The 21,666-nt window shown below is 33.7% G+C and overlaps 1 protein-coding gene across 1 annotated transcript in view; it reads right to left on the reverse strand.

The window, feature by feature from the left end:
• Positions 1-21,666, reverse strand: part of TPR (translocated promoter region, nuclear basket protein) — a 63,602-nt gene that overhangs the window by 2,971 nt on the left and 38,965 nt on the right. The window contains exons 34-50 of the mRNA NM_003292.3: positions 20,716-20,921; positions 20,446-20,507; positions 19,703-19,911; positions 18,500-18,772; positions 17,573-17,721; positions 16,876-16,959; positions 12,838-13,038; positions 11,482-11,613; positions 11,142-11,232; positions 9,064-9,248; positions 7,896-7,964; positions 7,696-7,790; positions 5,690-5,796; positions 4,111-4,206; positions 3,825-3,981; positions 2,860-2,978; positions 7-102 (exon numbers count right to left, since the gene is read on the reverse strand). Coding sequence (NP_003283.2) covers positions 7-102; positions 2,860-2,978; positions 3,825-3,981; positions 4,111-4,206; positions 5,690-5,796; positions 7,696-7,790; positions 7,896-7,964; positions 9,064-9,248; positions 11,142-11,232; positions 11,482-11,613; positions 12,838-13,038; positions 16,876-16,959; positions 17,573-17,721; positions 18,500-18,772; positions 19,703-19,911; positions 20,446-20,507; positions 20,716-20,921 — 2,331 coding nt within the window. The remainder of the gene's footprint in view (positions 1-6; positions 103-2,859; positions 2,979-3,824; positions 3,982-4,110; positions 4,207-5,689; positions 5,797-7,695; positions 7,791-7,895; positions 7,965-9,063; positions 9,249-11,141; positions 11,233-11,481; positions 11,614-12,837; positions 13,039-16,875; positions 16,960-17,572; positions 17,722-18,499; positions 18,773-19,702; positions 19,912-20,445; positions 20,508-20,715; positions 20,922-21,666) is intronic.

Consider the following 21,666-nt stretch of genomic DNA (forward strand, 5'->3'; position numbering starts at 1 on the left):
ATTCACCTCTCTGTCTGTTAAACTGACGACCACGGACACCTTGTCTCAATGTTGTCTGAAGTCTTACTCGTCTGAAAGGCTTTGGTTGACTACTACTAGTATCTAAGAAAAACATTAAGATAAAAGAAAAGCAAGTGAAAAAATGAGAAAGCATTTATAATGATACAAACTAATTACTAAATGAATGAATGAATAAGATGTAGACTTGTTCATTTGATTTCAATTCTTTTTTTCAAACAATGAGGAACATTTAACAAACCGAAAAAGGGTAAATGGTTAAACAACAAAAAAAGCAGCACTTTGGGAGGCTAAGGTGGGAGGATCACTTGAGCTCAGGAGTTCGAGACCAGCCTGGGCAACACAGCGAGACCCTGTTTCTACAAAATTATAAAACAATTAGCTGGGCATGGTGGAACATGCCTACAGTCCCAGTTACTCAGGAGGCTGAGGCTAGAGGATCACTTGAGCCCGGGTGAGGTTGAGGCTGCAGTGAGCCATGATCAAGCTAACAGTACTCCAGGGAGACCGGTGAGATCCTGCCTTAAAAAACACCCAAAAAACCAGGCAGACCAAGGCCCTGTCTCAAAAAAAAAACAAACAAACAAACAAAAAAAAAACACCAAAAAAAAACCAGAAGTGCTTGACTTTTTTTCATTCATTCACTTATATTAATAAATATTTACTTGTTGACTACCCATGTATCAAACATACTGCCAGGTGCTGAGAAATACAACAGAAAACAAAATATCAAGTCCCTCAGCAAACAGCCTACAACAGAACACAAATTATATCTGATTCTTTTTCAGACACCCCAAATGCAATCATTAGCAAATCATGAATGCTCAAATTTAAATATATATCCCAAATCTGACAACTTCTCACAATCCTAACTCTACCATCTCACCTAAGCCATTACTATCTTTTCCTGACTTACTGCAGTAGCCTCCAAAGTTTCTCGTTTCTGTCCATTATTCATTTTTAATCTCTTCTGTATGCAGCAGCCAAACTGATCAGATCATGTCATGTCATTATTCTGTGTGAAGCCCTCCAATAGCTTCTGGTATCCATGACAGCCAAGGCAATTACAATGATCTACTCGATCTATCCTCTCCCGCCTCTTAACATATCTCCTGCTACTCTCTGTTCTCACTCACTGTGCTCCAGCCACAGTGGCCTCCTTGTTGACCCTGAACACAAGCAGACACACTGCTGCCTTATGGACTTGGCATCTATTAATATTCTCTTTGATCTAGTATGCTCTTCATTAAGTAACTGCACAGCTTTGATCCCTTTCTTCTTTCAGCTCTTAAATGTCACCTTCTCTTAGTGATGCTTCCTATGAAACTGCCTGCTACACTGTCAAATATTTGTTGACCAAATGAATACTCAGATGGGGGAAGTACAGTTTTACATTATCAAATAAATTTAAAGACATCGTAATTTCATATTATACTTTAAAGGAAACAACCATATTTTCTCATACAAGCTCTGATAAGATATAACAAGTGCTAATTCTATTGAGGAAAGCCAATTTTTATGGGACGTCAAAATATAACTGGGGGCACAAAACTTCAGTAATCATTAATATGATTGTTATACATTTTTTAAGCCTTACTGCGTATGAAATGGTTCTGTAATTTACATACATTATTTTAAATCCTGATTGCAAGATTAGTTATGAGTATCCATATTACATAATGTATAGAAATTTAAAGTTACCAGATATGAAACGGTAGATATTAGGGATATTAACCAATAGGCTGATGTGTCACATCAAAGCAGCTGAGAATCAGGGGAAGAGATTTTGGGATAGCAAAGTTCTGTGATTTAAAAAAGTAATAAATAACTGAGCAGGTCTGCCATAAAATCTGAAGGTTCCATGGCAGAGTTTGAGAATTACCACTGTAAACAATTAAAAATTAAAATAATCAGACTGAATGACCAAGTACTGTATATCCTTAATAGTAAAGGTAATTCTCTGTCTAAAAATTTGAGATAGATGAGCTAGTATAGTGTATTGTTCAAGAGTGGGGTCTCTGGAGCCAGACTTCTTCAGTGTAATCGTTGCTTGTCCGTTACTTATTAGCTATTTGACTTTGAAGAGGTTATTCACCCTTTCTGTGCCTCAGCTTCCATATCTATAAAATGTGGATGAATATCTACCGCACTGAGTTGCGAGAATCAAATAAGGAAATATAAGTAAAGGGCTCAGAATACTACATGATACACAGTTAAGTGTTCAGTAAATGCTAACTGTTATTCTAAAAAATAACTTCTATTACAGGAATAATACATATCTTTTTTTCAAAATAACTTCAAAAATTTGAAAAGCCAAACTCTGAAACTGTTTACATCAGTAAATTTCAAACAATTTTTTTAAGCAACTGAGCTCTTACCCCTTAACTCTCCACATCAAATCTCATGTAGAACCCCAATATGTAGAACACATAAAAATGGAGCTGCTGTGGTTCAAACAGAGGCAAGAGGCCTGGAGTGCCCTAGCACTCCTTAGCCTCCCTCCCAGTATACCCACCCACTACAACCCCTGTAGCACCTCTAAAAGACCCAAGAGCTCTACAAAACATATGTTGACAACCAATAGTCTAGATGAAACATGAGTGAGCTATTCTTTTGGGATGGATCCACCATGTCCATATTTCTTATTATTGATGCCAGAATATTCTTAGAATAATTATTTCAATATAAACCAAGTTCCTTTTAATAATAAAATTTCTCTTTTAAATAAAGCATTTTAAAATACAGGAAAAAAGGATTATTAATTTGTTACTAATAAAGCAGTGTTTTCACAAACAAGTTTGATGTATAAAAACTGTATTGCAGTCAAGGGCAGGGACTCACCTACAGATGAGCTAGAAGGAGGATCCTGGCTGGTGGAGGGGAGATCTGACTCATCAGATGCTTGAACCGGCTCTTCTTCCTGCTGGCTATCAATTTCTAGGCCTGCTTCTGAACTAATACTAAGGAAAAGAAAAATGAGAAAATACAAAACTGATCCTACAGTCAATCATAAATTATATCCACTCTTTTAAATCTATTTTATCACTTAAGTAATCCAGAGCTCCCTTAAACAAAAAATTATAGACTGATTTGGTTACCATATATATTTTTCAAAGGAGCAGGGGGGAAAAGAGCTCAAATTGTTTTTTCCTCATTCCTTTTCTCACTATGACATGTTCCAATTTTAGTTTATGATTTTCCTCTTCTTATGTTTCCTTTTGACAAGGATGTTCACATTCTTGACACTCATAAGAAATATATGGTCCAGATTTTGATAAATCTCAAAACAACATTTTAGGAAAGCACAGTACTATAAAAAGTTCACAACAGTCACACTACTAAATAGTATACCAGTAACCAAACCACGGGCTCTAGCCCAGATGAGATAGGCTATGGGTATGTAAAATTCCTGGCTCAGTGGCTACATCCATCTTTCTCTCTTCCATTCAAGACACAAATGAGGGAGACAGTACAAGAATAACATGAATCTGCTCCAGTTTAAGTCATGTGAAAATTTCAGTACAAAATGACTACAAAAATTAGCCAGGCATGGTGGCGGGTGCCTGTAATCCCAGCTACTTGGGAGGCTGAGGCAGAAAATTGCTTGAACCCAGGAGGCGGAGGCTGCACTGAGCCGAGATCACGCCACTGCACTCCAGCATGGGCGACAGAGCGAGACTCTGTCTCAAAAAAAAAAACAAAAAAAAACAAAACACAACTTTGCAGATTGTTTCTTGGCTAAAGGAAAACAAATGTACAAGTCTGTTGAGACTAAAGCAAGCAAAAACAACAAAATAAACTTTTACCCTTCAGATTCTGCCTCCACAAATACTTCATCTCCATCATCACCTGTTGCTGTTTCATTTGTTGTAGATAAAGTGCCAGTGGATGTAGTCACCATTGGAACAGATTGAGAGGCATGTTCCGAAGCATCAGAGGTGGTGCTCTCAGTAAATACAGTCACTTTAAAAAGACAACACAAGAAAAAGAACTTTAAAACTTTGTGGTTTATCACATTTTTAGCCAGAAGATACTTCATAGGTTTTCATTTTACCAATAAAACAGAACCTACTATCTGCCTTTGATCCCTACCTGGGGCTGCTACTTGTAGTGGAGTAGTGGGAACACTTCGGCCACCTGACTCTTCTTCATGAGCTAGGAACAGGGGTGTTTCATACATTCCTAAACCTAAAGACAATTCTGAATATTAATGAATGACTGAAAAAAACATAAAATTATCAACAAGTCAGGGATGTGAAAGAAAAATATTAATTATTGGAGATATACAACTTTACTAAAGTCCACGATTTAATTATTCCATCAAGCAAAAATCCATCTCTCAAACTTTTATTTTTTATTTTATTTTAGAGACAGGGTCTCGTTCTGTCACCCAAGTTAAGAGTGCAGTGACACCACCATAGCTCACTGTAGCCTCAAACTCCTGGGCTCAAGTGATCCTCCCACCTCAGCTTCCCAAGGAGCTAGGGCTACCAACACAGACCCAGCTAATTATTTTTCATTTTTGTAGAGACAGGGGTCAGTCTTGTTATGTTGTCAAGGCTGCACCTGAACTCCTGGCCTCAAGTGATCCTCCTGCCTTGGCCTCCCAAAGTTCTGGGATTACAAGTGTGAGCCACTGCACCTGGCCTCAAAATTTTAAATACAACTTAAAGACATCCTTTAAACTTTCTAATGCTACAGTACCCTTAAAACATTCGCTAAAATGCTCTTAAGAGTTTCATACAAGCTAATTTTATTGAGTATCCAACTATGGATGTTAATTACAAAGTAATTAACAAAGTAATTACCAAGGTTACTAAGCTTAAAATGTTGGCATTCCAATTTAAGCCTAGATGCCCAAGTCTAGGAAACTGTATTAACATACAAAGTCACAAAATCACATAACATTTTAAATTTACAAAGTCAACTTACAATTTCATATAAGAAGAGGCCTTCAGTGTTAGAACTAATATCCTAAACAAGCAGATGTTACATTACATGACTTTTATGATGGCTAAAGATTGAGCTTATTGTAATAGTAGTATGCATTCTCTATTCATTTACCAAGTGCCAGACAGCTTCCCAGAAATAAAGAGGGTAATATGAATTCCAACTGAGGATTAAAAGGTAATCAATTCCACAAACAGCATAATTCACATGTGGAAAACTAGCTAATTCTACTACTTAATGTAGTGGCCATTTTATTCCACATATTTTGATCTTTTATTTTTTGTTTTTTTAAGTAATGTTAATACAAAAAATATAACTAGCCTTATACATTTAATTAGAAATGTTACAAGTGTCAAGCTGTAAACAGAAAACATGCTGCATTCCTTCCAACAACTTTAAAATGGCTAGTAGTACCTATATTTATTGGTTCAACACATATTCCTGAATACTTAAACTACGTGTATGACATTACACCAGGAGCCAGAAGAGATACTAATGTAAAAGCTAATCCTTATGCTCAAAGAAATTAGAACTTTGTTGGAAAGATAAGATGTAAGGCAGTGCTTAATAAGTATACTACAGCATTTAAAAAAATAAATTAGCAAACAATATCAATTTTAAAAATATTCATATTTGCTCTTTTTCCCCCCTTAAATCACATCTTAATAGTTTATTACCAAATACATACAAATTCAGGGGATCTAAAGGTTTAACTATTTACCTCCTTGAGAAGCAAGCTGGCCAAGATCAGAGTGACTAGAACTTGTTTGTGGCATATCTTCAGGTGGCCCAAACCGGAATCTAGGGACACCAGCAACCTGCGGCGAACTAAATGGACAAAAACTAATTTAAGATGAAATTTAAAGTTAACCTATTTAAACCACAATGGTGAAAAAAATATAGGAAGAAGGAAGAATGAACATCAACAAACTGGGAAGGAAACAGATTGAAAATAAAGTCTATTTATTTTAAAGGGTTTCTTACTTATAAAAATCCTTTTATACTATCAGCTGTCAATGAATTTAGTAATAAGAATAACCTGTGATTTATATGTAATTAATTTTCAGCTCTCCTGAACTATGCCTCACATTTCTTGAATGTCTCAGATATCCTCACATAGATAAACTGAAAGCAACACAAACTCAACATAAAACATAACAAAAAGAGTTGTTAGAATGAAGTCATGAGACAAAGTTTTATCTTAGTTTTCATTTGGTCATAGAAAAATCAAGTCACCTGTCTAGCTTATTAAGAGTTCACTAGCTAGCTCCCAAGGTTTAGGAAAATTCTAATATTAGATAGCTAAAAACTTGCTTTCTTTGTTATCCTAATAACACTATCATTTATCTTTCTGCCTATAATTCAGGACATAAAACTTAGCATTATTTAACTCTGCCTATCTTTCCTTAGCTAGTGAGCTATTAATGTCTTTAGGAAACATGGAGTTCAGGAAGTGGTGACTTCTAGAGGCACAGGGGTAGTGACATTTATTTGAGTGAAAATGCTGTTGATTGCTGGTACTCAGAATTCTGCATGTTTATTGGAGTGAGTCTCTTCCTGAGTGCTGACTTTCAGAAGGAAGGAGCTGAAATTGATTGGCTGGTTTGTAAGAATGTGTTAGCCAAGGTAAATTGTGGCTAACTGAGCAAGTTTAAAACTGGTTCTAACCGCCACATGTTACATCTACAGAACAATCAACCTTTCCCCAAGTTTGTAGAAATTTTTAAATTCTGATCTTCAAATACATCCTGTTAAGCAACTAATACCTTAGCCACGAATAAATGTGTATACTTTCACACGGAGAGCCTTTCAACCGTTTAAGAGGAGTGGTATAGCACAACACTTAGCATAGCCTCTACAGCCAGACTAACTGGTTTGAAACTAAAAACTGCAACTTCCTTGCTGTCTGACCTCTGGCAAATTTGTTAACATGTCTGTGCTTCAGTATACTATAAGATGACAACATTAATAATGTCTACTCTCATAAGTTATGAGGTTAAATAAACTAATGCATGAAAATGCTCAATAAATGCTAGCTATTCTTTCCCAAGACTGAATTCAATATCATCCGCGTTAAATCATCTCATATTCTTTCTCATTAGTTGTTGAAATAAATTACTTCTTCATTTGTAGTAACAAAGCCTACTGCTTATTCCTCTATTATCCTTCTACATTGTTTACATTACAGTTAGTTGCTCATTTGCTTAGCTTTCACAAGAATACTATAAATTATGATCATTGTAATTACCAACACTTAATCAACAACTATAAAGCAATTTATCATGTGTCAGGTAACATCTTAAACATGTTAACACAAATTAACTGATTCACTTAATTCTTATAACTTATGCAACAGAAATTATTCTATTGTTATTCCCATTTTTAAAATGAAGGTGCTCATGAACAGAGAACCTAAGGAACTTGCTACCGCTAGTAAACAGTAGAGTTAGGTTTCAAACACAGGCATTCTAACTCTAGAGGCCATGTTCTTAAACATTCTTATATTGTCTTTAACTTCAAAATTCTTGGTAGAAGTAACTGTATGTCATTCACCTCTGTATAATTTTCCCCAACAATACATCCTCAACTGACCTACCCCAAGTACTTATTAGTACATAGTAGAGAGGGACTCAACAAACAATGAGTTAACCAAATGATAAACAAACTAACAGAGAAAGACTAAAAGTTTGATTAGTTATAAAGTATGTTTCTCTTTCATTAACTTACTGAATTGCTTCAGCAAATCCATCAGTACGATGTGGCACCACAAGAGTTGGAGTACTTGGAACTGTTCTGTCTTCATCATCAAAAAAATGCTGTTGCTAAAACAAAGAAAACAGAGTTAACAAACAAAACACCACACATATGGACTATATAAATATCTGCTCAAGAAATGAATTACTTTTACATAATGGGTAAGTACTTACCATGCCACCTATTCCTGGAGTCAACTGAAGGCCACGTCCTACAGACTGCCTTCGGGTCATCTGAATTCTCTGCGTGTCAAGATAAAGGAATTACATTTGCTTTAAGAAATGAGGCAATGAAACAAACACCAAATATCAACAGATACAGCTTATTACGCTGCCAACAAAATAGTTAGCAGACAGGTAATTAGGACATTTTCCCAGGAAAACCTGCCAAGAAATCACTTTTGTCAATGACAAATTTTTAATTATAGTCTATAATATTAACCAATAAAAATCATTCTATTAACCAACAGACCAATTATTAACCAATACTTAAAACAGATCTATGATACCATCTTGTATGTAAACAAATTTAATTCCTATTTCCTTAGTTGGAAGTGTTAGCAAGTATTCTTTTGGAGTTCAAACAGCAGTATTGTTTTTTAAACTGTTTTCCAGTTAAGATAATTCTAAATGGACAGATTGGATATATTTTTGTAGCCTCCATACAGGATCCTTTAAGACTTTATATTTTCCCATCATGAAGTTATTTTCACTAGTGGTATTTCAGTAGAATCTATATTTGACAGTGTTTACACATACTATTTTATAGGGAAAAACTTAAGCTAAATTAATAGAACTTTTGTACTTTTCCTACTCTTTTTCCAAGTGCTTCTGATTAAGAGATGCCCGACCCTACTACATGCTAAATATAAGGGGTCATACATACCTTCATTAAACTTAAAAGTTAAAATATGTGATTACCAAGAAATGAGAAAAAATATTCTTCTGTTAAGTACAACAGAAATTCCTTTATCTTTTATAAATACGTGCACTGTAGAGAAAGAAACCTTCAAATCAGATAATGGTGAGCTGCGAAAATGTACTTTAATTAAAACCCAAGAAAATCTTTTTCTTTTCTCACTTGAGAAATAACAATTTTATTTGCTATGACTATAACCATTTCAATGTATGCACAACTTTTAGTAACACTTGCCTTTCTAAACATCCCTCAGAGATTAGTTTTAGTTCAAAGAATTTTATAAAAATATGCCAAAATACCAAAAAGTTCATGGGATTGCTAATTTAAAAAAACCAAGAGAGAGAGAGAAATACATAATGGAAAGGGAGAAAAGCCAAGATTTTTTTCAAGTTCATTTTTCATAATGACCAGTACTTTTAATACCTGAACTGGTGGTCCCAACTCCTGAGGTGGGGCATGAATGGTCAGTCTTGGGGGAAGTGGATGTGGTGGGCGTCTCGGTGACTGAGGTGCTCGAGGGGCCTGTCTTTCAGATGCTGATGATGGCTGTTGTTCTCTAGAAACCTCCTGAGAAAAAGAAGATTCTGCAGCACCTGTATTTCCTTCACCTGTAGGAAAAGAGAAATTTACTTTTGAACTGCTAAATTTACCACAAAAAAACTTGGACAATCCCTAGAAGTATAAATCTTGCCAACAGGAATGTTCACCGTACGAATATTTTCAGAAGTAAAGTAGTGAGGTGTGATGGAAGCAAATGTGGGTTTTACACCCAGAGACAATGGGATGTGTACTTATTCGCTGTGTGGCTTTGGGCAAGTCCCTTAACCTCTTTGAGTCTATTTTTTGGTTGGTTAATAGAGCAAATGTAACCTCCAAGTCTGGTGTTTCTAAAATGGTTTTTCTAAAGATTTCAGATAATGAACATAAAGCTCTTAGCTCGACCTATGATAAACATTAAAAACACTAAAATTAAAGTAAACATTTAATAAAATAAAATAAAACTAAAATTAACATTTAATAAATCTGGATTAATTTTAATAAAGTAGACAAATTACCTAAAGGTTAGACCATTAGAGAATCAGTGTAACAATCAAAAAGGATAAAGACAGAGGAGAAGCCTTACAACTACATTTTAATCTTTTGGTTTTCCTGAATTTTGAATTTTAACAAATGTCTCTCAAATGTCTGGGTATTCTTCTACATACACTGTAGCAACAAAAGAAGCCATCTTCAACTATGAAAAGTTGAACAGGATGTCACAGAATTTCATAGTTTAAAAGTCTGAGGTCTAGATTCAGATCCTTGCTCTAATACTTAAGCTACTTAGCTACTTAGTAAGCTATGCGACACCTCAAGTCACTTTACTTCTGCGATTCAGATTCTTCATTGATACCTAAACCTTATTAAGTTTACTACAAGAATTAAACAATTCAATACAAGTGTAGTTGCTTGAAATGTACTCAAATCCATCCATTAATTTTGTTCAGGGCACTAGGCCTATTTTTGCTTGGTTGCAAAAATAAAAATAAAAATAAATAGGAAAAAGAAGGAAGGAAGGAAGGGAGGGAGGGAGGGAGACCTAGAGGAGCAAAAATTCCTCCCTCTATATTTCAACTACGTGATACACAAAAAATGTTTCTTAACCTACAAATTGTTTATAAATGTAAATTTTTGTTCAAAGTATATCAATTTCTCATCTCCCTTTAAAAGTAAGAATAGTATTACCTATTATATGGCTTAATATTCATTAATGTATTTTTCTCTTAAAAAATTTAAAAGTTTTGTCTGTTCTTTAGTTAAAATGAGAATATATCTTGCCCTTTTAAATACCCAGGCCTCTACAGAAACCCAGATACAGTATTTTCCCATTAGTCTAAACAGCTAAGGTTTTACTATGTCAACACTAATGATTTCAGCTTAGTATCAGTTGTTAGTTATCTATTACCAGATAATCACTAATTATTTAATACACATTTCAAAATAAAATTATTTTCTACGACTTCCATACTCTTTTAATGCCCACAACTTTTCAGTGGACCTCCAGGACTTATCCAAGATTTAACAAAATATATGCTATATTGATCCAAAAATCTTTTATTCATTGGAAAAGCAGACCATACTGCAAAGCTCCAATAGCCCCAAATCTTGAAGCATGCAGCTTGATTAGACTGACCTCCTCTGGTTGTGAACTGCTGTTACAAGTAGTCCCTAATTTAATTTTTCCTCTTAATGGCAGCATATAGCATTTATAATACCGTAAGGGTTACAAAATGTTTGCATCTTACAGCAGCCCAATGAGGCAGAAAAGAGTATAATGACAGCACCTAACAATCATAAATATAGTAGACTTTTTATGAGAGCACAACAGTCACAAAGCTAGAACAGGGGCCAATCTCTTTTTACCAATTCAATAAATAAATTTATATATTAGAATTAAGTGCAATTCTAGTTTAGAAAATACCAGAGATATTCAATTCAAAAAAGGCTAATAAAAATCTCACCACTGTTTTGAGAATCAGCAGCTCTGTGATTACCTTCACCTCCACCCATACTTTCTTCTGTTTCTGTACCTGGATCAGTCCCATCACCACCCTAAAAACAAAACGTGGTAACATAATGCTCAAATAAAATAAATATGTTAAAAAAACCGGACAGAATAATTAACCAAACCAAACCACAACAAAAACAAATAAGTAACCATAACAACAAAAAACAAAACAAATGAACAAAACAACCAAAGGTTTTAGTGAATTTCATAAGCCTTTCTATATCCTTGGAAAACAGCAAGTGAAAGAAAGCTCATAGAAAGAACTATGAATGGTTAAAATTCTAGCCAGTTACCTCAGCATCATCAGCTTCATAACCATCATTGCCATCGGCACTACCAGTTCCTTCATTACTATCTTCACCCTCATCTCCCATCCCTGTGTCATCTTCATCATCATCATCATCTTCCTCATCCTCTTCATAATCCTAGTAGAAAGTTCCCCAGGCATAAATAAAAGTTTAGAATATGGCCCACATGCTCTGCATGTCTAGATACCACACTTAGAAATTTAAGTGACTCATTAATCAGAAGATAGGAATTGTCCTGAGAGTTGTATGGGATTAGTACAGCAGCACCAAATACCACAACTGTGATACTTACTGGAATTAGTGCAATAATGATCAATTCTGAATTCTAACTGTTTGCATGAGATTGCTCAAAGATAATATAGACCTCAGGTGTCAGCAAAATATCAAGTGGTCCAGTTTAATTCTAAATTTAAACAGGTGGAGTTGAAGAAAATGATAAAATTACACTATATCAGGAGCTATTTAAAAAATGTTTATTAATCTAAAATAAGAAGCTGTCAATATAGGATTAAACCCCAAAATAAAACAAACAATTTGACCTTATATATATAAAATACACTTTATATATAAAAAAATGACAAAAATGAACTATGGGGCTCCAAGAGGAAACAAAAACAATTCTTGTTTCTTCTTTTTATCTCCGGAAACCATAGCACTTACATTTAAAGCCATACAGTCATTTATCAATAAGACTTAAAATTAGGTCTAATTGATAACAAATCCTAAAAGACTCATCAATTGTCAAAAAAACAAAATGAAACAAAATTTTAAAAATGGGCATTCCATCACTGGCTCTACACTAATTTTCATTATAAAATGTTGATTTCTGAACTAATTAAGATAGAAGAAAAACAATATATATAATCTATTTAATATATAATATATTAAATATATAATATATATATTATATATATAAATATATATAAATATATAACATATATATTATATATAAATATATATAAATATATAACATATATATTATATATATAAATATATATAAATATATAACATATATATTATATATATAAATATATATAAATATATAACATATATATTATATATATAAATATATATTATATATTTATATATATAATATATATAAATATATAATATATATTTATATATATAATATATATAAATATATAATATATATATTTATATATAATATATATAAATATATAATATATAATATATTAAATATATAATATATAATATAAATAAATATAATCTATTTAAGCTGACTGGGAACCAGAATTTACAGCCAATGCATTAGTATCCCAAGGATTTGAGCACTTTCATCCAATAGTTTAAAAACACTAGATGATTTCAAATCAAACTTACCTCATGTTCTCCATCATTTTCATCATCATCCTCTTCTTCATCATCACTGTCAATTACAATGACATCATCTCCTTTGCCTTGACCATCCTGGGATGAAGTTGTCGTCTGCTGATCTGATTGAAGTGGCCCAAGATCTATTTGTAGAGACTGAGAGGTTTCTTCACTGTCTTCCATAGGTGTATAATCTCCCTGGGTAACTCCCTTTAAAAATAAAAAAGTTAAAAAAGAATTAAGAGCCCTATAAACATACCTAAAACTATATGTGAGGTATTATTATAGGTCAAAGTAAAGAATAATGAGTACTTATGGACTAGCAGCATTTAATTTAATTTTTTTTTTTTGAGACAGTCTCGCTCTTGTCACCCTGGCTGGAGTGCAATGGTGCTATCTCAGCTCACTGAAACCTCCGCCCCACTGGGTTCAAGCGACTCTCCTGCCTCAGCCTCCTGAGTAGCTGGGACTATAGGCACCACCCCACGAAGTCTGGCTAATTTTTTGTATTTTTATTAGAGACAGGGTTTCACCATGTTGGCCAGGCTGGTCTCGAACTCCTGACTTCAAGTGATCTCCCACCTTGGCCTCTCAGAGTACTCAGATTACAGGTGTGAGCTACCTCAGCCAGCTACATTTAATTTTAAAAATGGCATTTCAAGTATTTTTGAAGAAAGAAGATGAACCTTTGAGTTTCCTTAATGTCTTCCTATAGAAGAATTATCATAAATCTTATTGGTTAATACTCCAATAAGAAAAAGAGAAAAAAATATAAACAAATATTTGTGCATTCAAAACTACTAGCGTGATATCGCGTATCAGTGCTGTGAGACAGGAATATGTCATGTAATTTTAAATTTGTTAGTAGCCACTTAAAAACAGGTGATTAATAATATACTTAACCAATATATCCAAAATATTATTTCAACATGTAATCAATGTAAAAATTATTAACCAGATATTTCACATTTTAAAATTTCTACTAAGTCTTCAAAAATCTGATGTATATTTTATATTTGTATCAATTTGGACAGCCATATTTCAGTTGCTCAATGGCCAGGGCGGTTAGTGCACAATACAGCTGCAGACCAAAGTCAGAAAAGAAAAAAAAAATACTCATGGGTCTGCAATGTTTAAACAGAAGGTTTTCCCAAACTAGAACTAATTTGGAAATGCAGTGAATAAATAAGCTATTACCACTGTCTTTTTACAAAGAAAAGCACTGAATACATAAGTTAGTATCATTGTCCTTTTACAAAGAACTTCTTCCCTCCTCAAAATTCCAATTATTCCAAGCCTTCAAACCAAAATAAATATATCAGATACTAAATAATTCCTTGCTCAATCTATTTCCACAATTCTATTTTGTTAACTACTGAAATAAACTATTATTTTAACTTCATTTATAATATTTACTATCAAAAGTTAAATGTCTTTTTGGCTTAAGCACTCACTAAAATCAATTTTTTATACAAGCTAGCAACAGTATCTTTTAAACTAAGACATTCATAAAAAATTACATATGCCGTAATGGAAAAAATGAGTAAGTCATGGTATAATTTAAAAAGTGCCTCAAAGTGACATGCTTATTTCAGAAAAAGCAACACTTGAAAAGAACGTCTGCTTCACTGTCAGAAAATCAGAAAAATGAACTGTTACACATTCAGTAGACAATGCTAGAGGGGTGGAATAAAAATCCAAATGGTATTTTGGAGTCACAGACAATTTTGCTAATTTCAAGAAAAAGCTTTTGCAGAAGATTTCAGTATAATTTAACCAAGTCTGACAAGAAGGCAGAAAATCTTATTATTTTCAAATTGTTATGTTCTTCAGAAACAATGCTCTCTGAAGGATAGATGAAAAAGATATCATTTATAGTACGCTCTGAATAAGTTATTTAAAATGCTTGGGTCCAGAAGTGTTTCAGATTTTGGATTTTTTAGAATTCTGGAATATTTGCATATCCATAATGAGACAGCTATAAGATGCAAGCATAAATGCAAAATTCACTTATGTTTCATATACAAAGGTGTATACACACAGCCTGAAGTTTATACACACAGCCTGAAGTTAATCTGACACAATATTTTTAATAGTTTTGTGTATAAAATGAAGTTCTAACTGTTTTGACTGTGGCCCATCACATGAGGTCAGGTGTGGAACATTACACACGTGGCTTGCAATGTTGGCACCTAAAAAGTTTTGAATTTTCAAATTAGGGATGTTCAACCTGTACTACATAATCATCTGAAGATTTAGTTTAGTGTTTTCAGTCAAAGAAAGCTGGTAAAATTAACTTACAAAATAAACGCAGCTAAGAAACTAAAATTTACTTGCGATATGGCTATTTATGGTTAGCTTGAGACAATTCCTTAATTTTACATGATAAAATAATTATAGCATAAGATGATCCAGAAAGTTTATACAGACAAAAGTACTGTTTCAAGCTTAGGACAGTTGAAAACTACACAGCCTGGGTTTGAATCTGAGCTCCAATGCTATGTGAACTTCGGTACACTACTTTATCTGGGTATCAGTTTCTGTAACTATGAGGTATAATGAAGATTAAATTAGTTAATAAATAAAAATTTCTTAGATCAACATTTGGCATATAGTAATGAGTTCTGTGTTAAATATTGATATTTAATTACTATCATACATTGTGATTTGAGAGACCAAAATAGATGCCATTTTCTCAACTAAGACAAACCCTAAGGTTAAGGAAACAAAAGTTACCCGTAGGTCAAGGGTTCAGGGCCTGTCTGGCATGGTAAATTTCTAAATTCATATGGTTACAATAAAAAAATATAAGCCTTTGCTAAACTCCTCTAACTGGAACTATCGGGCAAGTTATCAGACTCCTATCTCTGATTTACAATCCAGACCACTACAACTCTGACTGTAGAGAGCACTGGCAAGGAACTGCAGACACCTTAAGCTAGTTTCAACCTGCTTAAAGAGGCTGCGCACAAACTGTCTTTGTGTCCTGTAGTTCACCTTTTGTTCACTCTTCACGTAAAGAGCCAAATTCCAGCTCATTTTCATGCTAAAACGCTGCCCCAAAGTGAACATGGGATGTATATTATATATATTTACCTACTGTTTATATGCTCAGTTCCCCTCATAAATATGTATAGCGTTTCCCCAAAACCTGCTGAATATGCATGACTCTATTGTGTAATAAGGACCCTGTGAGGCATAAAACCACACCTGTCCCTGCCCTGTGTGAAGACAGAACACCTTTGGTCCACGCTGGAGACTATTTCTTCCTCATGAGCAAAATGATATCACTAATAAAGCTCTCCTTTCTATTAAACACTATTTAGCCACCCTGGGGGTCTTCTTGATGACAATATGAATTCTCATTTTGTGGGACAGAAGGAAGAAAGGAAAGTAATAATATTCTGAGTGCCTAATATGTGGCAGGTACTACTTTAGGTATTTTACAATCCTAAAAATTATATTTTTTGACAAGTGAGACAATGCAGGGAATTAATGATATGCTTACAGTCACAAAGCTTCCTAGTGGTGGAGCTAGGAATGACACCTCATGCTTTGTAACTTCAGGGTCTATATTCTCTCCGCTAGTAAAACTGCTAGGGGAACCTCAATGAGAGATCAAAAAATGAAGAGGTATATAAATGCATTTCCTTTTATGGATTACTTTAATTCTGTAAGGGAAATAATACAGGGGAGTAAGAGAGAACCAGCAAATGGGGCACTATAAATTAACTCAAGATGCAACCAGCACTCTTGTATTTCATGTAATTAAAATAGGGAAAAATCTTGGCTCACAACTCTAAAAAATCTGGAAATCTGTGCTATATATGAACAAAAACATTTCTTTAATATAAGTTTAGAAGGCAGTACACTATACTCATAGGAGTAAAAGAAAGCAGACTCTGCAATGATTAATTCTAGTAGTATTTCATTACATATAATAAGAACAAGCTAAAAAAAAAAAGACCAAATAATGTTTCAATTTGTCAAAGCTAATTTCATTCACGAAAAGCAACGGTGTGGTACTTTAGGTATGTTTTTACTTACTTCTCCAATGGAATCTTGAGAATCCTGGTTGTATACCTGAGTCTCTACCTCTCCATCAGTACTTTCTTCTGCCATAACTTCTTCCTGTATCATAATACACTAATATATTAACCATATCAGTGTAGTAGATGAAGGGTTACCTGTTTTTGTTAGTTCTCTCATTTGAAAAAACCCTTCAAATCTATATTTTATGAAACTATAGAAAAATAAAAAAATTTTATTTAAAAATTATAATCACATTCCTCCTCAGTATACACAAAGTAAGGTTTATGAACATTAATACATGCTAATACAATTAATTTAGTAGCCTTAATGTTTGATTTGAAACCTGCTTCATTACAATTTAATCTTAACCACAAAAAGGAATATAATTTTGGCTAATCTTAGAAAAAGATAGCAGGTAACAGTTTATGTCCATGAGACTTAGAAACTTCGAGATGAAATTCAACTTATGTTTTTATGACTGAGCTTTTTTATTGAAATAGAAACAAATGCAATTAAAGATATGCAAGAATATAAAACACTGTTGGTAATAATACCTGGGTTGTCAGTGGAATCTTTGTAGAAAGTTCAATAAAAGTGTTTTCCAGATAATATATTTTGGCCCCAAAAGGTTAATTTTCTTTAGGCTGTAGCTGAAAAGAGTACCTTAACTCTACTGGTAAAAGTTAAAATACACAGAAAGAACTTTACGCACCTCAGTTCCTACAGGTGTGACACTTTTCAACTTCTTTGGAAGAGGCATTTCCACTGTATCATCAGAGACTTGGTCTGATGCTTCTATGGTGCTATCCTCTTCCTCTTCACGTGTACGCTTTGGCAAAGAAGAACTGGGGGTAGCCGAAACTTTGAAATTATATAAATCTTGAATTAGAGCATGATAATAACTCAATTTAGATAAAGATAGTTTACCCAATATGGTCACTTAACTAAAGGAGAACACAGTAAACATTTAATTGTACAGATTACTAAAATACAATCAATCAACTCCTAGATCAATGTCCATCAACATAATTTGTTTCTGCTAAGCTATGGGTAAACAAAGAGCAACTTATGCTCTGAGTCAATGTTTTTATACCAACCCAAGCTTTGCTTAATAAAGCCAGCCAATTTTTACAATATATCTGGTTCACTGAGATTGTATTACTATGTTGTTATCTACAAAGTTTACATGGGACCTTCTATAAAACTCAGGACTCCTTGAATAAGAAAAAATGTACACTGTATGTAAATCAGTATATAGTCTTATCTTAGGTGTCTTTTAGTCCTCAGGACTTCCGTTAAATTATATACAATGTTTTGCATTAATATGTAAGACCAGTAAAAAAAATAACTGGAGGGGGAGAATCATCTTAATGACAAACAACTGATTTAAAATAGTCATATTCAGTAGTAAACATGAAATAAAATGTTAGTAATATATTCATTCATTCTAATTCCTGGTAGAAAGCATGTATGCACAAAGAATACTTGTGATACGTATTATATCCAAGATATTATAATTGCGTAGGTCTATTCTAACTTCATTTGTACAAAGAATACTCAAGATATATATACTCAAGATACACTCAAGATCTTATAAATGCATAGGTCTACTCTGACTTCATTTTAAAATTAATTTTACCTGTGCCAAATACTGCTGTGGAAGTAGAAGGCCGCTCAACTGGTGAACTCTGAACAACCTCTACTATGTTTGAAGATAACTCTTGATTGGCAGGCTCAATCTGAGGATGACTCTGTTGAGTGGGTTGCACAAAAGCTGTAGCCTGTGTTTGTTGCTGAACAGTTAAAATAGGTTGAGAGATAGAAGGCTGGACATTAGGACTAGTAGAACGAACGGATCCACTTGTGCTTCCAAAAACTGGAACATGTTCCACAGGCCCTTCTGACTGCATAGCTGAAAAATAATTATAATGCTGAATATAAGCCTTCTACTTTTATCAAAGCTGAAATTATCCTTCCTATTCTGTGGTACATGTCACCTTTCACACAGATTTGGCACTTGGTAGACAAATACATTGTAGGTAAAGGTAATGTATTATGCATTTTTATATTCCCTATGTAATTGATATGGTAGCATGCAATAAAATGTTGCCTGAATTAAATAAATATCTGTAACTGATTTTGCATCTATTCATTTAAATTACTGTTGAATAAAATTAATGAAATTAAGCTCAAAGTAAAATTAGAATTTTTCATTAAGCATCATTTAGTTTTTAATTGATATAACAGATAGTAAATTTGATTAGTAATATATTTAGTTTATTGGATGTAGCTGAAATAAAACATTCTCTACTTTCACAGCACAGAAATACTTGAATAATTTACTGAATTCTAACATTTGTCAAGATAAGAATCTAAGGAAATATGCAGGTAGCAAAGTTTTACTGAACACCTACTGTGGAGTTAGGTAAAGGGATTAAACAATAAGAAGCTGAGATTTTTGCCCTTGAGGAGCTCAATGTAGTGGAGTAAAAAGCATGTATACCACAGAATAAAATACAAAGTTGTAATTGCTGTAATGAATAACAAGAGTGTCATGGGAAAAAATTGAAGAAAGCAATGAAATGGTCAGTTTCAGTGAGAAAGCAATGTTGGATTGAGCCAGTAATTCAGTATGATTTTCCAAAGTGGATTTCATATATTCTTTGTCATTACAAGTGAAAATTTTGGTCCTAGAAGTATGTCCTTCAAATATTAAACACCCATTTTTACAATGACGTGACTTCAGCTGTAGTGGATGCTTCATTTGTCTTTGAAATTACTGTCATCTTCTCATAATAAATCTAAATAAGCAGTCTCATCAGATCTGTATTATTTTACTAACCTTCCTGTGATTCCACTTGTGTAGTGGGCATCACTGTAGCTGTTGGGGTAGTAGTGGGATTTGTAACAGTTGCAGGTGTAACCATTGGGCGGATACTAGCCCTGGGTGTTGACTTATTTCCAGCCATAGCTGCAGCTGTCACTTTACTTGGAGTAGACACAACAGGAGTTGGCTTGATATTGGCTGTTGGTGGGTCTGATGTGCTGGCACTTATAGAGGAGAAAATGGAAGAATAATTAATAACAAATTATTATGCAAATACTTTTAAAAACACAGTGAGTATAGGTCTCCATTTTTTTGTTCACTAAATATTTCAGAGCCTTATTAAAGCTGTTTTGAATTTAAGCATTAAAAACTACACAGGGAATGCTCCAGAGTGGTGCATCCTGACAATGTAAAATGTATCTAGCTGTTGAATTGCTGAACCCAAGTCTCAGCCCAGCATTTTCTATCTGTCATCATGTAACATCACGGGGAAAATCAGTAGCAGCCTAACTTAGAAACCAACTGTAAACTAAAAGATGAGAGACGTTTTCTCTGTCACAAAGCTTCATCTGATAGGACTGAAAGTATGGTGAAAACAAGCTGGCAAATACATGATACAGTTCTGCAGAGAAAACAACTCTTTAGTGTATGTTTTTACAATAGAATACACAGATTTCTTTTTCCTAAACAGAAAGATCACTAGATATTCCCTGAGCTTTAAAAGAAAAATAACAGACTATGAAATAACTAAAACTCACATTCCTCTTTCACCAGAAGCTGGAGTTGTTTTCAATGTGATCTGTCTCTGCTGTTCAGGGACCTATAAAGAGAAAGCTCTTGATTGTTGTTCCTAGCCCACAAGAGTCCACTAAAAATGCCACAAAAAAATTGTCATTATTGTTAATTCTCTCCGCATATATTGAATTTTAGCCAAAATTCACTGACAAAGGCTCCTATATCACCAAGCACTTTCAAGTAAAATGTACAAAGAAAAACAATTTGTTACTTAAGCAGAATTAGCTAATCACCTTATTAGAAGGTTCTTGAGGCTCATCTCTCTGCTCAAGGTGTCTCTCTTGATGCTCCCTGAGTTCTCTTTCCAAGCGACTAATTCGACCTTCATATTGGGACTTTAGCGCAGTAATGCGAACATCCAATTCATCTTTCTGCTGATCTAAGGCTCCATTCCTTTGTTTAAGCTCCTCATTTTCTTTAGTTAGCTGATCTTTTACACCTAAAGAAGTAACCAGGCGATTATATTAATATTATAATCAAACATTTAAAACAGCATTTATGCACTTAATTGGCACATGGTCACATCAGATTCTACTACTATAACATCTACATTAGTTATGATACATCATACATCTCAATGAGCAAAGTTCTAAGTACATTCATGCTTTAACTTATTACTAGAATATAAAATATACTTACTCCAACATAAAAATTTACTTTTTCCTAACTAAAATCTCAAAAAGCTAAAGATCCTAGTTAACAGAAGCCCGTTTATATTTCAATGTATCATGCAATTCATTACTATGAATTGCAAAATTTTTATTTCATATAATCTACAGCACTGTTTAAAAATAATTCAAGAACTTTTAAAATCAAGTAAGTTGTTAGGACACTGTCTTAGAGATCATTTTAAAAAAATGCCTGTAACAAAATCCAACTGATTTGACATTTTATTTAACTACTCAGCAGACTGATAGGCAAGGCTGAATAAAGCCCTGAGCCTTGAAGAACTAGGTTCTTCATAAATTTGACATGATACTCTCCCTGAAAAGCTAGAGGGGTCCTCCACCAAACGAGGCACAAAAAAATCCCTGGGCTGGTAAAGATCTTTATGCAGTCTACATAAGGTTTCTAGACAGCACGGTCTGGGCTCAAAGGATCTCTGTCACAAGATAGAATTGTTATCCATGAAAGCAGAAGGATAGCAGTATTCCATTATCTACTGCCAGCCAACAATTGAGAAA

The sequence above is a fragment of the Homo sapiens genome, chromosome 1 (assembly GCF_000001405.40).
Source record: "Homo sapiens chromosome 1, GRCh38.p14 Primary Assembly".
NCBI lineage: Eukaryota > Metazoa > Chordata > Mammalia > Primates > Hominidae > Homo > Homo sapiens.